Source organism: Homo sapiens, chromosome 17 (genome assembly GCF_000001405.40).
Source record: "Homo sapiens chromosome 17, GRCh38.p14 Primary Assembly".
In the NCBI taxonomy this organism is placed as follows: Eukaryota; Metazoa; Chordata; class Mammalia; order Primates; family Hominidae; genus Homo; species Homo sapiens.
This window is the reverse complement of record NC_000017.11, coordinates 27,649,994-27,668,737: the sequence shown is the minus strand read 5'-3', so window position 1 is coordinate 27,668,737 and position 18,744 is coordinate 27,649,994. Positions and strand designations below refer to the sequence as shown.

General features: G+C 54.8%; 2 pseudogenes; both read left to right on the top strand.

Annotated features, from left to right (window-relative positions):
- On the top strand, positions 472–1,581 carry LOC100420408 (TBC1 domain family member 29, pseudogene pseudogene; annotated as a pseudogene).
- On the top strand, positions 4,083–17,295 carry NOS2P1 (nitric oxide synthase 2 pseudogene 1; annotated as a pseudogene).

Here is an 18,744-nt window from a genome sequence, read left to right as displayed (position 1 = left end):
GCTGGAGCAGTGGCCAGGAGATTCTGCACATCGGTTTAGAACCCTCCTTGCCCTGCAGTGCCCTGCATCCCCAGCCCAGGGGTTAGGCTCACCCCTAGCCTACAGGAGGCCCAGGAGGGTCCCTGCAGGCCACACAAGCAAGACCCTCTGCCCAAGAGGGGTCATCCCAGGGCAGAGGCTGGGGTTCAGGCCCAGCCTCATGGGCAGACTGGGCCAGGACCCAACTTGGGAGGGCTCAGGGATGCCTCAAGCCGCGGGCAAGCCCCTATCTCCAGAAGCCACGTCCCCACTGAAATGAGTGCCCCCCCATGAGGAGCGGCAAGACCTGGTCTGACCCAGTGTCCTGGAGGGGTCAGGTGACCCTCATGGGGAAGGTCACTGACTCTGGAGACTGAAGCCCCAATGGGTGCAGCTCGAGCCACCAACCCCAGCCTGGAAGGGCCAGGTCCTCCCATGCCTGCTGTCCCCACAGATCTCTCTTGGGCTCACCCTGCACCTGTGGGACATGTATTTGCTGGAAGGGGAACAGGCATTGATGCCGATAACAAGCATTGCCTTTAAGGTTCAGAGGAGTAAGTCCACGTGTGGCCAGTGGGGCCTGGGGAGCACTGGGGTCAGACCCTGACTGGCCCAAGGGCAGCTTCCTCACACTGTTCTCATGATCCTCTGTTCTGGCCCAGAAGGAGGTCTGTCCAGGTGGGCTGGGCAGGGCACAATGACACCAAGTCCATCCCCCACATGACCCAGATGAAAGTCAGGAGTGTAGTGAGCACTTTTTTTGCCCAGGCTACCCCCCAGCCACAGCCTTCTGTGCATATCTGGACCCCTGGAGTGGCCATGAAAGTATCCAGCACCACCCAGTGGGAGACTGAAGTGGCCATGGGGTGTGGGCTCTGACCTCTCCCAGGGAACTCTCCGGGCCTGATGCCCACCCTGTCCCTACAGCGCCTCATGAAGACGTCCAGGTCTGGCCTGTGGGCACCTTTTCGAGACCAGTTATTTCATACCTGAGCCATGGACAATGATCCTGTTCTGAAACACCTTCGGGCCTCTATGAAGAAACTAACAAGGAAGCATGGGGACCTGCCACCCCCAGGTGGGCTCCAGTACCAGGTCCCCTCCTGAATCACCTTCTGGGGCAGTCAATAGTGGGGGAGTGCTCAGGACCCCCAATCCTACTACCTGGGTCTTCCTCTTCACCTTTTCTTTCTCCTCTTCTTCCTGGACTCTAAGAAAGTACAGGAGGCCCATCGGTCCTCAGGGCAGGCGCTCAATGCGTGTGTACGGGACATGCTGTGCAGGAGGGGGATGTGGGCAAGAGCCTCCCACAAGCCCCCTCCCACTTTCCTTGGTGGCCCGCTCTCCCCCTCACAGGGCCCTCAAGCGCACTGGAGGAGCCAGACCCATTTGTGGGAGCCCCCACCCCTCCCTGAGAGCACCCACAGCCTCAGAGAGCAGCAGAGGCCCCTCACTCCTGCAGACCCCTCTAAGGGTGCCAGGACAACAAGCCTTGAGCCAGGGAGACAAGGGAATTGGGTGTTCCTGACCCCCAGAGCATTCAAGGAGAGGGCACAGGCAGGACCCCGGGCCCAGAGCCAGAGCCAAGAGTTCAGCCAGGTGTGGGAATGGTCAGTCCTGGCATGGACTGAGCAGCCCAGGAGGGCAGAGGGTGACTCATATCTGGGCCCAGTCGCCCACTGCGGAGACAGGTCCCCATGTGAGGTGGCAAGGGGGCTGGGTAACAGCCAAGGCCGCTCCTACCTGAGTTCTGACAGGGGGCCATATCCCAGGCCCAACAGCCCTGGATAAGGTTGTGTGGCAGGAAGCCTTCAGCCTCTCTGAACCCTGGGGGGCAGTCCCAGGAGCCACCTGCCATGCCCCGACATCTTCCCCACCCCAGGCAGCACACACCCCTCTTTCTGGGATCAGCAGACTACAGGTGTGTCCTCAGTGTCAGATCACGGGGACCACACGGAGACTCCGAGGACTCCAGAGACCCAGGCAGGTGAACTCAGGCCTCAATATACATCAGCTGCTCTAGCTGAATTTTGTTCAAACTCAGTGAACGTCTGCTCTACAGGGTGCATGTGAAAGGGGCAAGAATGAGTAAGCTGCAGATAAAGAAGACAGAACACAGGGGGTCTGTCTAAGCTCTATCCCCTGCCTTCAGCACTGATGAAGCAAATCCAATACTTAGGGAATGGTGGCCACGTGCTGGACCAGCCCCGGGCTATGAGGATCTGACAGTGAGTGACGCAGAGGCAGGCCTTGCCCTTGGGGAGCTTTCCAGCATACACCTCCCTCTCCCCTCCCAGCGCCCTGCAAAGCAGGCGTCAATGCCATTGTTAATGCACAGAGGAGGAACCTGACTGTTAGACAGGTTGATGGGTTTTCCAGGGTCAGGGTCACATGGCTTCTGGGAGACGGATGTGACCCTGAGGACAGGGCACAGGCCAGTGTAATGCCACAATGGGATGAGCTGTGATCTGTGCTGTGTAGAGGCCTAGGCTAAGGTGGGACTGACGGATGACCAGGTCAGCCAGGTTGCTGAAAACACTCTTGGGTCCTCACCTGCCAGCTCCCAGGACTCCGGAACTGCCAGGAGAGTGGTGGCAGGTCCCCCATCCTCAGCTGGGTGGGCCTGGATAGAACAGCAAGGCGAGGGCACATTTCCCCAGCCATTCCCTCCAGGCACAGCTGTGACCTGCTCATTCCAATTTCGTGGAAATATTTCCACACACACAAAACTGTAAATAGCAATGGATGTGCTGAGAGGAGCTTGGACATAGGATAGGCAGTATTTTACAGGCAGAGCATCCAGGGCTTCCTGACGGGTTAGCTTCAGGGCTTGAGCAAGGAAGGAGAACCGAGGACAATGTGTTCAAATCTGTTCACTCACCTCCTCCGTGCCACACCTGTGCCGGGCACTGGAAGAGACAGATGAGCACAGAAGCCCTGGCCTGGGGGAGGTGTGGGAGGGAGCCCAGAGCATCTACTGGGAGCTGAGGGCTGATGTCCACCTGGGTACCATCCAGGTTCTCTGCATGGACAAGTACAGGGAGGCACAGCTGTTGCTGGTGGAGACCACCACATTTGGGAATGGAGACTTCCCCAGCAATGGAGAGGTGGGTGGCCTGAGGTCTGGCTGGTCTAGGAGGTTGTAGGGTGTGGGAGGACCCAGGAAAGGGTCCGGGGAATGAAGCAGGTCCTACAGAGGGCATTTGGGAGTCAGTGCTCAGGCCATCTGGGTCACTCAGGTCATTTGCCGGCCTCCATTGTAATTATTGCCATATGGGAGTGCCCCCTTTCCTATGACATATTTAATATATTTCTGTGAATGGCCTACCTGTTTGTATTTACAAATTCATGTTTAAAGGAAACTTGTGTCACTCTCACAAATGGAAAGCAGCAAAACTTAAATTCAATGAAAACAAAATGAAGTTAATGAATTTTAGCTAGATACTATTCCCTGGCCAAGGCCTGCTCCTTCTTTGTTTTTTAAAAGAGTACTAGGCAATGAGAGAGGCATTAAAGGTCTATTAGCACCAACTCAAGACTGTCTCTCCAGGGCTCAAAAGAATGAAAATGTAATTGAAGGGGAATAACTAAAAAATAAATTATGGAAAAGGGAGTAAATACTCACCATGGGATTTGACGCTAGTTCTGCTGGGTCACATACCTCCTGGAATCATCTTGGCTTCCTGGAAAGCCAGCCTTATTTCAGAGACTGTAGGACCAACTGTTGTTGCTTTTACCAGGTTCCAAACAAGAAGACAGAATCACGGCCTATTAGGAGGCCCTCTGGAGATGCCCAGGGCTGGATGGGAGGGGGCCAGGCTATTCTGGGTCTCCCACCAGGGGACAGGGCCCACACAAGTTGCTACAGTTTAGCTGGAGTGAGAGACAAGCTAAAATTCTCACCTGACAACCAGGTCCTTGGCCAGGTGGCCCCATATGTAAACCAACTTCCATTGTGGGCCAGGAGCCATCTCCTGCCATCTGTGGCCAGTTTTCCAGAGGAATGGAAAAAGCGGTGTTTTTTTTCATCTTGGCCTGAGAACTCTGTCATTTCCTCTCTTTCTAGAAACTGAAGAAATCCCTCTTCATGCTGAAAGAGCTCACCAACAAATTCAGGTAAAGCTTTTTCCCTCCTCCTGCAACTTCTAACCTTGCCCTGAGGACCCAAAGTCTGGCTCAGGGGATGGAACTGGGTGCGCATACGGGGTCTTCTCAGAGCTGACCAGGCACAGAGGGACCCTGGGCCAGAGGTTTGCCCTCGGAGTGTGTCACGGGTCAAGCCACAGAAACCAAGTCCCTCTCACGGGTCTGCAGGCCAAGCATGGGGTGGTCATGGGAGTTGGTGACAAGGCTCAGGGGTTGGGAGGACTAGAAGGGGCTGCAGCTCCATGCTCCAGCTGGATGGGGAGAGTCTGTGGCTGGCCCTCCAGGCTGTTGGTGCTGGGTGCTGGGTGCCAGGTGTTGCTTGCATGGGACATGAGTCTCTGTGTGTTTCCTTGGGCAGGTATGCCATGTTTGGCCTCAGCTCCAGCAAGTACCCTCAGTTCTGTGCCTTTGCTCATGACCTCACCCAGTAGCTGTCCCACCTGGGGGCCTCTCAGCTCACCCCGATGGGGGAAGAGGATGAGGTCAGTGGGCAGAGGATGCCTTCCGCAGCTGGGCCATGCAAACCTTCAAGGTCGGTTCCCAGCCAGAGCTGCTCCACAGCAGGGACATGACAGGGTGCATTCAACCTAGGACATCTGTGCTGGGTGTCCCAGGTGCCATGACCTCTGCCCCTGGTCCTGTAGATGTGGTCCCAGGCATGAGCCAGGGCCACAGGCCTGAGGGCTTAGGTCACTGCTGCTCTCCCTCAGGCCCTTAGAAGAGCTCCACCTTGTGCACACAACTCTGGGGGAGAAGGTGGCACAGATACCCCCCTGCCCTTAGGGAGCTTCTAGTTTAAGGTCTCCCCCACTGACTACCTAGGTCACCTTTTAACTACTGTGTCTGTTTCAGTCTCACAGCCATAGAGAGCCTAGGGACAGGCACCACACAGTGGCAGATCCACTTTGGATCCACTCAGTATCTCCATAGCTCTTTACTGCTATGGTTGGCCCCAGTCATTTAGGGAACTCATCACTCATGCAGAGCGTCACTCAGCAGTGGTGCTTAGGAGCATCAGCTTGCATCGGGGCAGGCTTGGTTCCAAAGCCCAGGCCTCCTCCATGTGGTTCCACAACAGGAAAAGGGAACAATCAGACCTCTTCCAGTGTGGTCATGAGGATACAAGAAGATCATGTCAATATTGGCATTCATAATGGCCAGACACTGTGGCGCATGCCTGTAATCCCAGCAATTTGGGAGGCTGAGGTGGGCAGATGGCGTGAGCCCCAGAATTTGAAACCAGCCTGGGCAACATGGCAAAACCAGTCTCTTCTGAAAATACAAAAAATTGGCTAGGCTTAGTGGTGCACATCTGTAGTCTCAGCTACTTGGGAGGCTGAGGTGGGAGGATTGCTTAAACCCAGGGAGGCTGAGGCTTCAGTGAGCTATGATGACACCACTGTACTCCAGCCTGGGTGACAGAGCGATACCCTATCTCAAAACAAAAACAAAGGCAAAACAACATTCAAAATAGTAGCAATAGCTACTATGTGCCAAGCCCAGACACCTCTTTGAGTCCTTGCTGTCACCCTATCAGGTAAGTGTGCTTCGAAGTTACACGAAGCAGATGGCTTAGTATCTGGCCCATGGTAAGGGCCTAAAAAGTGGTAGCCCCAGTGGTGGGGATGCTGCTGCTGCTGCTGACCATTAACCCCCATCTGCTCCACCTTCTTCCAGGCAGCCTGTGAAACGTTTGATGTCCGAAGCCAACAGCACATTCAGATCCCCAAGCTCTACACCTCCAATGTGACCTGGGGCTTGCACCACTTCAGGCTCGTGCAGGACTCACAGCCTTTGGACCTCAGCTAAGGGACCTGCTTCTCTGTAGCACATGGGGCTTGTTTGTGTTGGGGTCTGAGCCCTGAGCTCATGGTCAAGGAGAACCCCAGGTCCTTCTGAACAGAGACAGCTGGCCTCGGGGCCTCCCTCTCACTGCATGCAAGAGCCTGTTAGGGCACAAGACTCAAGGCGCTGAGGGAGGCTGTTTCAGGAGGGAGCCGCAGAAGGATGGTGGAGAGAGAAGGGGACAGCATCCGCCGAGGGCCTACTGTGTGCCAGGCACTGTCCAGGGCTCCTGGCCCACATGGGCTAAGTGAATCTGGACACTCCTCCTGGGAGAAAGGCACAGATGGAGAAATTGCAGTTCAGGGAGGTGAAGCAAGCTGCTAGCCTGTGGCCACTTTGGGATCTGAGCGCCAGCCTTCTAGCCACAAAGGCAGCAAAGGGTCATGAAGAAGGCATCACAGAGGCGATTCCAGGCTGTAGTGGTGAACTCTCCACTCTGCACCCCCAGGTGCTGTGCCCTGTGCCCTGATTAGATAGTCCTGAAGGTTTCTACATGTTTAAGATATCCCCAATGTCAACGATGCTCTCCTGTGGATCCCAAGCTGTGGAGATGTCCTGGGACTTTCCATTTTAGGTTCCTAAATTGAATTTCCCAACACCTAGAAGCAACCCAGCTGCCCTGTATCAGACCAAGGACCTTTATTTGTGATTCAGAAACAGTGGAATAAAAGGAAAGGAAAGAAAACCCCAACAGCCACCTCAGGAGGATGCCCCAAGGGTAGTGCTCTGGTGTCACTGACTCAGACATGTGGGGGCTTCTGCCACCCACGCTCAAGAGCCACTTTGCCGTTTCACCGTCTCTGTGTCCTCCACAGCCCTCAGCAGCATGCACGCCAATAACATGTTCACCACGAGGCTCAAATCTCAGCAGAAGCTACAGAGTCCAACATCCAGGTAAGGGAAAGTGCAGGGCTTCTCGGGTGATGCTCTACTGATTTTATTTTAATGAATGAAAGACCAGAAGAAGTCAGTCTTTGAAGGGAGAGGAGAGGAGCATCTGCTGGCATTAGCAGCCATGCCATCGGTAGGACTGGCTCACCTGGTAACCTGTGGCCACCTGTGCTTTTACATCTACTCTTGGTTAACCACGGGCCACTTTTCCAGCTTGGACTCTAAGCGTCTGTTCCACTTCCTCTCCTTCCTCATTGAACTCTTTCACTAAAAGGAGAGTGCAAGAGAGACTTAAACTGTTTGACTCATTCTTAAGAACTTTCAGGAAAAGTGTTGGCAGGGAAGGAAATTTCCCAGCTCTGGGAAATAAGCCTTGTGGATTATCTGCAGGTTTCATTGATCTGTGCTGTCCTCCCCACATGCATTAAGAAAATTGGCCTTGGTTCTAATAAGAACAGCATTTGTCCTGGTGACAAGGAAAGGTTTCTTCTGATGTCCATTATCTCCAAGAGGGATGCTTTCTCCAGGCAGAGGCTGTGGCCAAGTGCTCGGGGGGCTCAGAGGGCTGCTGGGAAGGGGTGAGCCCCTCTCCTCCCCAGAGGGAAGCTCCCAGGGCCCTCTCAAGCACCCCTGGCTGTGGGGATGCTTCCCAAGCTCAGGGTGGCAGCCCAGGCTTGTGGAACCAGCCAGGTAAGTGAAAGGAGAGTGCATTTCCTGGGGAATCTCTCTTGCCCATCAGGGATCCTTGGAGGAAATCCTGCAACATCACCTGAGGCTTCTTTTTTTATTTTTATTTTTTGAGATGGAGTCTCACTCAGTTGCCTAGGCTGGAGTGCAGTGGCGTGATCTCGGCTTACTGCAACCTCTGCCTCCCGGGCTTAAGCCATTCTCCTGCCTCAGCCTCCCGAGTAGCTGGGATTAGAGGTGCCTGCCACCACGCCCAGCTAATTTTTGTATTTTTAGTAGAGAAGGGCTTTCACCATGTTGGCCAGTCTGGTTTTGAACTCCTGACCTCAGGTGATCCACCCACCTTGGCCTCCCAAAGTGCTAGGATTACAGGCATGAGCCATGGCGCCCGGCCCACCTGAGGCTTCTATTTCCTTACCCAGCCACACCACCATCCTGGTGGAATTCTCTTGTGAGGAGGGCCAAGGCCTGAACTACCTGCCAAGGGAGCACCTTGGGGTTTGCCCAGGCAACCAGCTGGCCCTGGTCCAAGGCATGCTGGAGCGAGTGGTGGATGGCCCCACACCCCACCAGACAGGGCACCTGGAGGCTCTGGATGAGAGCAGTGAGCCCTGGGCCAGGGAGCCAGTGCTGCCTGGCATCCTCTGGCCACCCCATCTGGCTGAGGGGCTGAGCCTGGGCCTGCCAGTGACAGTCATCCCTGTCCTTCCTGCTGAGAGGGTGGGCTGCCAAAATCTTATGTGAAAGCAGCTGTGGAAACAGTCCCAGCCACAGGCATGGCTCCCTGGCCTTAGTTTCCCCAGTGATAATGACACCACCAGTGTATCCCCCTCAATGCAGTGGCCAAAGTCAGAAAGTGGGATCAGCTGAGCGTGGTGGTTCACGCCTGTATTCCCAGTATTTTGGGAAGCCAAAACGGGTGGATCATTTGAGGTCAAGAATTCAAGACCAGCCTGGCCAACATGGTGAAACCCCATCTTTACTAAAAATACAAAATAAATTAGTTGGGCATGGTGGTGCACACCTGTAATCCCAGCCCCTCGGGAGGCTGAGGCACGAGAATCGCTTGAAGCCGGGGAGAGGAGGTTGCAATGAGCTGAGATTGCTCCACTGCACTCCAGCCTGGGTGACAAAGACTCCATCTCAAAAAAAAAAAAAAAAAAGTGGGATCAGAGAGGCAGAGCCTGGCAGTGTCCGCCACCATCTAGGAGAAAGTGAGGACGAGGAGACACATGTCCTTGTGACTGCAGGGTGATGGATGTGGTTCATCAGGACCCTGGTCAGAGGAAATAACGTCATACTCATATTTTTACCTAATATTTAGGGAACATGTTTACCAGGCACAGCACCAACTTTTTTTTTTTGACACAGTCTTACACTGTCGCCCAGGCTGCAGTGCAGTGACATGATCTCGGCTCACTGCAACCTCTGCCTCCCAGATTCAAGTGATTCTCCTGCCTCAGCCTCCCAAGTAGCTGGGATTACAGGTGCCCACTACCACGCCCAGCTAATTTTTGTATTATTAGTAGAGACAGGGTTTCCTATGTTAGCCAGGCTGGTCTTGAATGCCTGACCTCGTGATCCACCCGCCTCAGCCTCCCAAAGTGCTAGGATTACAGGTGTGAGCCACCACACCTGGCCACAGCACCAACTATATGTGCGCAATTTCATTCAGCGCTCATGCCAACCCAGCAAGATAGGTTGTGCTATCAGATCTGTTTCACAGGGAGGGAACCCAAGGCCCAGAGGCTTTAGTCACCTCGGAAGTGGAGAGCCAGGGTTTGAACCCATGTCTTCCAGCCCCAGGGTCTGTGCTGTGACTGCCCTGCATGCTGCCCCCTGGGAGTTCCCTTTGAGCTCATCTTCTGCTCACCCAGCACCTCTTGGTACAGCACCCAAGGGACTGCAGTCATGGGCTTTTCTCCAAGTGAACAACTGGCCTGTGAGGTATCCATTAGTCTTTGGTGGATTTAGTCATTGTGAGTCTGTAGATCACCGGTGAGTGTCTTGCTAAAGTTCAGGTCTGGGCCAGAAAAGGACGTGGTTAGTTTATCAGGACCACGCCAACTTACTGCCCCTTTGGGGGCTGGTGATCAGCCTTCCCTGGCAGTCCTTTCTCCATGCGCCACCTTCTTCCTGCCTTTTGCTCTTAGAGCCAGGTCTTTAGAGCCTCCTTTCCCCTGCAGCTGGAGAATAGAGGGTGTCTGCCTGGGGGCCTCGCTACCTACTGAGAATCCTGAATGGGGCCTCTTTTCCATCCTGACACCTTCCTTCCCCATCCAGGCAGCTACTGGGTCAGTGACAAGAGGCTGCCCCCCTGCTCACTCAGCCAGGCCCTCACCTACTTCCTGGACATCACCACACCCCCACCCAGCTGCTGCTCCAAAAGCTGGCCCAGGTGGCCACAGAAAAGCCTGAGAGACGAGGCTGGAGGCCCTGTGCCAGGTGAAGATCAGGGCTGGTGGGCAGTGGGGGTATGTGGGGGGTCCCAGCATGTGGGGAGCCAGAGTCCAGAGCTGGTTTTAACTTTCAAGAGGGATCCACACCAGGTTCCCAAAGTGAGACTTGTCAAAGGCTGGTGGGAAGCCAGGCATCGTCCGCTGGCCCATGTCTAGGACACAGTTGTGTTGAGTGAACTGAATTTTTCCAAGTGTCTGCAGGATGCAACCAGAGTGCACTGCCTTGAACATTAGCTAGAAAGGGGAGCCGCCCTTATCCGTCTTTGCTTTCCCCAAAACTGGAATAAACTTGTCACTTAAGATGTATTGGGGGATGGATGGTGTGGATGAATGGATAAATGGGCATAATGGGCAGAGTGACAGATGGAGAGCTGAATTAATAAGTTAATGAGAGAATGCATTAGCTCACCTGCAACTGTCTGGTTCCAAGTCTGCAAAAGGCACTGGTTGTCATTATTATTGTCATCATTATAGCTAATTATCTCGATTCCAACTACCTCCACCACCATTATTTTGTGGCTGCAATGTACTAACTTGGCACATGCTTTCTCATTTAATTCCCATAACATCCCCACAAGGCAGGCAATACTATCCTTGTTTCACAAAGGTTAAGTAATTGGGATGAGATTCCACAGCTAGTGAGGACACCCAGCCAAGATTTAAACCCAGGTCTGATTGGTTCCAAAGCCTTGCCCCAAATTAAATTGCAACAAAAATTTGACCCCTGCCCACGAGTTGCCGACAGTGGAGGAGGTCACATAAGTTAGATAAATGTACTGGACTGAGTTCCTCCAGGACAGGAACTATTTCTTCTCAAGCTCGGTAGTCTCAGCACCCTGGACAGTGCCTGGCACATGGACTTGTTTGTTGAGTGAGTGAGTGAATGAATGAATGACTACTAGGTTGTGAAAGCCTTTTCCCCCAAAGTGGGGCAGGTGCCCTGAGTCGCTCACATCACCCTCCACTTACTCTCAGAGTACAGCAAGTGGAAGTTCACCAACAGCCTCACGTTCCTGGAGGTGCTGGAGGAGTTTCTGTCCCTGTGGGTGTCTGCTAGCTTCCTGCTCTCCCAGCTCCCCATTCTGAATCCCAGGTTCTACTCCATCAGCTCCTCCTGGGATCACATGCCCATGGAGATCCACCTGACTGTGACCGTGCTCATGTACCACACCCGAGGTGAGCCCAGGGAGGAGGATCTGGAACAGCCGCAGTCTGCCCCTTATTGGGCATCTGTTCATCAACTCAGCCTCAGCTCCCTCATCAGTTCAAGGAGGGAGGGAACACCCACCACCCAGAGTTGTTAACCGTAATAGGAGGCGTGTGGGAGAGATCTGTAGGAACCAGGCACTAAACCAAGCCTTCTGTATGTATATGATCAGTTACATTGTGGGGTAGGCCCTGTGTGCATTTTACAGGTGGCACAGAAAGTCACACTGTTAGTAAGTGGAGAGCAGAGATTCAGACCTGATTAGTCTAACTGCTAAGTCCAAGTCCTCCACCACCCCACTGTTCCACTACTCTTGGGACAATTTAATGAGATCAGACGTGGAGAGCACCCAATGCTTGGTGGGAGGCCAGTGGTTCTTAGTCTTCCTGGTCGTGCAGCCTGAACACAAGGGAGATTCTGCATTGATTGTTCATTCACTTACTCAGCTCATTCAGTGATGGTTTATCTCACACCTCCTCATGCCTGGCACTGGGGTGGGTGTGGAAATACAGCAGACATCAGCCCTGCCCTCAGGGAGCATCTAGAGGCGGCAGTGGAGAGATAGGCATAGAAATAATTAGATTATTCTCATTGTGCTGAAGCCAAGAAGGAAAGGTCAGGGTCACTGAGGGAAGCAAAGTGGGCCGGGGTGGCAGGGGGCGGGGTGATGCTGCCATAGAGCGGGAGGCCAACATCTCGTCCAGGTGGTCTCGGCTCCACCACTGGCCGCTGCCCCCTGCCCTGCCCTCTGTAACTGAGCGTTGCCTGGGTGGGCAAAGCTGGGAGCTGCCCACACTTCTGAGTCCTCTGTCCTCTAGGAAGCACAAACACAGTTTCTAAAAACTGGCCAGAGACTCTGTTTGCCCTGCTAGAGAACAGCCACCCAGACCAGGAGAGGAGAGGCCTACATGTCTTGTGAGAGCAAAATTTAATCCCGAGGAAAACCAGGGGGACCTCTGCAGTTGGTTGGAGGCCTCCTTCAAGTGCTGGGCCATTGTAAGGGGAACAGAACCCAGAGAAACCTCCTGGGTTTCTACAAGCCCGGGAGGGCCCACTGAGGAGGAAAGCAAGGTGCCAGAGCAGGCTGAAATGCGCGGAACTCATCCACCACCCAGGGTTGCTACCAGCAAGGGCCACGCTCATGAGCACGCACAGCAGTAGCCACCCTGAGGGGCCACTTCATGCTGCTGTCAGTGGAGCTCAGTGGTGAGCTGGGAGTGTTCCCGGAGAAAGTCTTTGGAAGGAGCACTGGAGTAGGAGTCAGGGAAGCTGAGCTGTCCACCTGATTCCACCGCGACCTGAGTGACCTTCTCCAAGTCACTTTTCCACTCCGGAACTCAGTTTCTGCTTGGGCAGACGGGACAACCTGCAACCTCTCTAAGTCCCTTTCAACGTTCCTCAGCTCCGCGCTTACAGAGGGTGGATCTCAGAACCAGAACAAACAGCTGCTCATTGAGTCCTGAGAGTGCCTGAGTGGGGGCGTCCAAGGAGGCCGTGGTGTGGGCGGAGCAGCTGGTACAGTTTGCACATGGGCAGTAGGGGACATTGGTCACTTTGTGGTATCGTAGCAGATGGCCAGGGTCCCCTGCACCACGGCGTCTGCAGCACATGGCTCAACAACTGAAGCCTCAAAACCCAGTGCCCTGCTTTGTGCGGAAGTAAGCACCCCTTCCACTCTGTCCCCTGTGGGACCGCCGACCCCTGGGGGTTCCGGGAGGAAAGGGAGGGATCTGGGGTTTAGGTGCCACTCGGGGGCCCCGTGGCCCATAAAGAAGACACTGGGGTCACACTGGTGTGCCTGTCTCTAGCAGGGACAACGATGACAACAGTGCTGGAGGGGCCCAGAGTCCAGTGAGCATGGCCCTTTTTCAGAAGGACCTGGGGGAGGTGCTGGTGCCTGGACAGAAGTGAAGCAGCCTGCAGGACATGGGAAATCAAATAGGAGCTTCTTGTCCTCTCCATCTCCTCACGACCACCCCCCACAGGCCCAGCTCCCCAGCCATCCTGTGTGTGCGTGGGCCTGGGGTGTCTGAGGACTGGCCCCCTCTTCTCCTGTCCTCTTCCGTGTCAGCGGCTTCCACCTCCCCGAGGATCCCTCCCATCCTCGCATCCTTGTCAGGCCTGGCACAGGTATCGCTCCCTTCCACAGTTTCTGGCAGCAGCGGCTCCATGACTCCCAGCGGAAGGGTAAGGCTGGAGGCTTCCCAGGTGGCAGGGGCACCAGGGGCAGCGCCTGCCTAGAATCAGAACCGCAGCCCCACGAACGGTTCCTGGACCTCTCTGGAGGGAAGATCTCCCAAGTTTGCCTCCCTGTGCGGGCCTTTGTGGGTTAGAATGGCCGCCTTCACGTCTCCGGCACCGGAGCCGGGGCTCCCTCTCCTGGTAGTGGGGATAATGGGAAAGTCCTTGCTTTTGAGCTCCGATGGGCTGAGGGAATCCCGCATCTGCATTTTCAGTTGTGTGACTATGGATGAGTGATCTGAATGCCCTGGGCCTCAGTTTCCTCATCTGTAAAGTGGGGATAATGCTATTAACTAGCTAGGATACTTGTGGGAGTTAAGTGAGAATTCCAGTTGGGCTTGGAGCCGTTGCGCCCTCTGGTGGCCAACATGATAACAACAGCCCGGGACTCCCGGCAGTAGTGCTGGAAGGCCGCAGGACCCTGGTCTTCTGGTGCCGCCGCCCAGATGAGGACCGCCACCTACCGGGAGGAGATGCTAGAGATGACCCGGAAGCGGGTGCTGCATGCGGTGCACACGCCTATTCCCTCCTGCCTGGCAAGCTAAGGTAAATGCAGCCTAAAAGCTGGTGAAGCCATTACACACACAGGCTTCAGTATGAGCCCTGGGTCCCCACGGGCCCCTCGCCTCCCTGAGACTTCAGCTCTTGAGCTCTAAAATGCAGGTAGTTCACAACCATCAGAGTGATGCTATGAAGAGCGTTACACCCTCTCATACAGCATAAGCGACAGGCCCGGAGAGGTTCAGGACTAACCTAGGTCACACGCGGGTTAAGCCCAGAGCTTAGCCTGCTGAAGGTCCCCAGCAGGACCCCTGGGACATGCGACTGCCCAGGGAGAGGTGATCCAGGCTGGCTGTGTCAAGCCCAGCAAGACTGGAGGGCGGCCAACGCTTCCACCACGGCCCTCAGACAGGCTCTGCTGCCCCCAGGGCCGCGTTGTCTCCTGAGCCGGAGGTGTCAGAACAGACTCTCGGTCCTCACACATTTGTCCCATCAGGGCACCTCTCGGGTCCAGTGCTCTGTGCCCAGTGCTGGGGCCACTGGGCATCCTGTGTGGAGCAGGAGCAGAGAGTCCCCGACTGACTCCTGGACCTTCTAACTGCGAAGCCCGGGATCCGTACCCTGCAGGGACCTGATGGACAGTCTGCATTGAGAGGCTACCTTTTCCAGAGTATAGACAGAGCCCTGGGCAGGGGGACTGGCTTCACTGATGCTTCTTTGAGGCATGGCAAATTCAGAGACAGTCTGGGATCCCCACTGGATGGTCAGCCCCTCGAGGGCAGGACTGTGTCCAGCATTTATCTCTCTAATCCCAGCCCAGCCCCAGGGGCATCTGTGCGCCTCATCCTAAGCCTGGCCCCATGCAAGGTCCTGGCTGGGAGGGGACTCACTCCTCACCCCTTAGTGCCCTCTCCCCACTTCCCTGAGGACAGCAGGCCTGCCTGCAAGCCTTGTCCCCAGCAGCTGGGGACTGAACCCACCACTTCCTCTGGTTTCAGGTCGATGTTCAGGACATCCTGCAGCAGCAGCTGGCCAGCAAGGTGCTCCGTGTACTCCACGAGGAGCCAGGCCACCTCTATGTTTGCTGGGATATGCGCATGGCCTGGGATGTGGCCCACACCCTGAAGCAGCTGGTGGCTGCCAAGCTGAAATTGAATGAGGAGCAGGTCGAGGACTATTTCTTTCAGCTCAAGGTATAGTAGTGGGTGTGTGGGCTGAAGGTGCCGGCCAAGGGCACAGGCCGTTGGAGCCAGGACCAGGGGTGGCAGGTAGACCCAGGGGAGTCAGGCCCAGAAAAGTTCTGGGCCCCAAGAGAATCTTAGCAGTGGCTGAGATCTGAGCTGGGTGGGCTGTCAGAAGGCCCTACTGCACATCCTGGACCAGTTGGCAGCTTTGAGAAGTCGGGGGAATGTGTTCCATTTTTCCATCTGTAGAATGGGGGCAGGAGAGTCTCCCTGGCCTCTCCCCAAACCCCCCTTTCAGAAAGTATCTGTGTGGCCAAAGCAAGGCTGTGAACACAGGGGAGAGCAAGGCTGCCCCTTGTCAGCCTCGTGTGAACCTCACACTTCTTATTTACACCCAGGCTGGCGTCTGCTCACCCTCATCCCCCCAGCAGGAAGGGCTTGCATTTTATTGATGAAGATAATAGTGATATTTATCAAGGGCTTACACTGGGCATACTACTTGCCAAAGATTCTGCTGTGACATTTTGTTCAGTGCTGCCGAGGATTTTGTGAGGGAGGCACCCCATTTTGCAGAGGGAAGGGGGCCTACGGGGACCACAGCAGTGAATATGAAAGCCTAGAGCTCAGTCTGCCTCTCTGTGGTACCAAAGCCTGTGATTGTCACTTCCATACTCTCCCTAAGACACATTCGTACGTTCAACCAAACATTTTTTGAGCACCTACTATGTGCTAGGGATAGAGCAGTAAATGAATCAGGCAAAAATTCTTTACATTCTACTGGGGCTGACAAACCCAAACAAGGAAGAGCTGTAGTGCTTCAGAGAAAAACAGCAGGAAACAGCCCAGAGAACGCTGGGGAGTGTAATTTTAAATAGGGTGGCCAGGGAAGGCGGAGCTGGAAGGCGGCATCTGAGAATAAACCTGAGATGGTGAGGAGGAGCCCTGTGGATACTGAAGGAAACACTCTGGGCTGTTCTGGAGGGGCAGCAGGTACAAAGGCCCCGGGGGTGGGAGTTAAGCTGGTGTGTTTGAAGAACAGTGAGGAGATAACAGGCATTTCCCCAAATGCGTTGAATGGGTCGGTAGACAGTTGGCATCAAAAAGGTTCCAAGGTCGAATAGCCTGGGACATGCTTAGTTAAGGCAAGGCAAACACGTTGCTTTACTACAAGACTTCTGGAAGCCTTCAGCATGCTGCTGCTCATCAGGACCCTTCAAGGCTGGAAGGAAAGAAAGGATGTGGCATTTCCCAAACATATTTATCTCAGAGCTCACACCTCCTGGAGTATCTTGGGTGGGGGATGAGTGCTGGGCAGGAAATGGGTATGCTAAGTAAAGCTTTGGAGATGGTTAGAGGGCCCGCACCAGAGCAGGTGCTGAGGGCCGTTAGAGTCTAAACCAGATTCAAGCACAATCTTAGTATGACAGTTGGGAAGACAGATGGCTCATGGAGGTCCATGTGATAGGGAAGCTGGGCAACCCCGGGGGCTCATCCCAGCCTGGACTTGACACTTTGGTCTCTGTTTCCACCTAAAAGAGCCAGAAGTGCTATCACGAAGATATCTTTGGTGCTGTATTTCCCTACAAGCAGACAAGGCGGCAGTGCAGCCCAGGAGCCTGGAGATGTCAGCGCTCTGACGGCCCGTAGGAGGGGTTAAAGCTGCCGGCACAGAACTTAACCACGGAGCCAGCTCTGCATTATCCGAGGTCACAGGGCCTGGGGAGATGGAGGAAAGTGATATCCCCCAGCCTCACATCTTATTTTTTCACTTCATTCCCCATCAAGCCCTTTACTTGACCTCCTACCAAGTAGCACCCTGGATTGATCAGAGCCTCCTCTCTCAAGCTGGGGCCTTCCTGGTCCCTTGGAGACGAAATCTTCAACGCCAGGCCTGGCAAGTGGGTGAAAGATGGAACCCGCTGCTGAGTGCACCACTTCAAGTGACCACCAGGAGGTGCTGTCACACCACTGTGTATTTAACTGCCTTGTGTACAGTTATTTATGCCTCTGTATTTAAAAAACTAACACCCAGTCTGTTCCCAACGGCCACTTGGGTCTTCCCTGTATGATTCCTTGATGGAGATATTTACATGAATTGCATTTTACTTTAATCACACTGTATGTGTGTGTGGCGGGGGAGGGGGGTTGGGGGCTGTTTTGTAGGGAATGTGGCCCTCAGTTATACAGAGTGGGGAGCTGGTGGGTGTCGCAGCCTGGACAGATCCCCCACAGAGGGACAACCCAGGCAGGCCATGGCTCCTCTGAAATGGCTGCCAGGTGTGACAGCAGAAGATGGAGCTTCGTTGCTTGTCCAAAGACCTGTGGTAGGGCAGGGGGCACAGGCCTGCCTCCCTCACAAAGGATCTGAAACGGGGTCTGGCGTGGGTGGGATTCTCACATGAGGCCAGCGCTTCTGGGAAGGCCTTGAGCTTCTTCTTAGACACTGTCTTAGCGTTTTGCTCTGGGGCCACCTGTCCCATGTGAGTTTGTCTCATACGGATGTGGTCCCTGGGAAGGCAACATGTCGAGGCAAGTGTGGGCCACAGCATCCTCGTCTGAGGGATTGGGGACCCTCCCGGGTTTGGAGCTGGCCAAGGAAGGCTTCTTAAGAGACTGAGCCCCATTTCCTTCTCCTGGTCAGAACCAAGGAAGGAGCTCAGCAGGGGACGCTGGGGTCCTAGCAACACACGGCTCCCAGCTCGGGTTTGGTGTCTGCCTCCTGGCCGCCCTAGCCGACTTCGCCCCTCTCTCTCCCCTCCCTCTTCTAGCAGCAGAGTCTCAGGTGGCAGGAGAAGGTGTAGTGTCAACCTCAGGCTCCAGAAAAGCTCTGTGCCCTGCGCGACAGCCGTGCATCTCAGCAACACAGCCAGGAGTCCGCTCCCGGACCGGGGCTTCTCAGGTTTGTGTTTTTGTTGTTGTTGTTGTTTTGTTTTGTTTTTAATTTTGAGACGGAATTTCACTCTTGTCACCCAGGCTGGAGTGCAATGGCGCATTATTGGCTCAATGCAACATCTGCCTCCTGGGTTCAAGCGATTCTCCCCCCTCAGCCTCCCGAGTAGCTGGGATTACAGGTGCCCGCCACCACACCCGGCTACTTTTTTTAAATTATTATTATTTTTAGTAGAGACGGGGTTTTGTCATGTTAGCCAGACTGGTCACAAACTCCAGACCTCAGATGATCTGCCTGTCTCGGCCTCCCAAAGTGCTGGGATTACAGGCGTGAGCCACCATGCCCAGCCGGCTTCTCAGCTTTAATGTGTGTGTCTCACCTGGGGTGTTGTGAAAACGAAGGCTCTGATCTCTCAGGTAGGTATGTGTGTGTGTCACGGGGCAGGGGGGCGGTGCGCGGGATGCCGCGTTTCCAACAAGCTCCCAGTTGCTGCTGGTGCTGCCAGCTCCGAGGACTACACTGGGGCCTGAGGAACTGGATTCTTGCTGAGCCAAGCAGGATGTGTTGGCATCACGTGGACGCGGAGCTGGGCTGTTGGGCAGTGGCCCAGTGGCTGGCAGAACCCCACACATGAACACTGAGCCACTTTTCCCACGCAAGCCCTAACCCCTAATG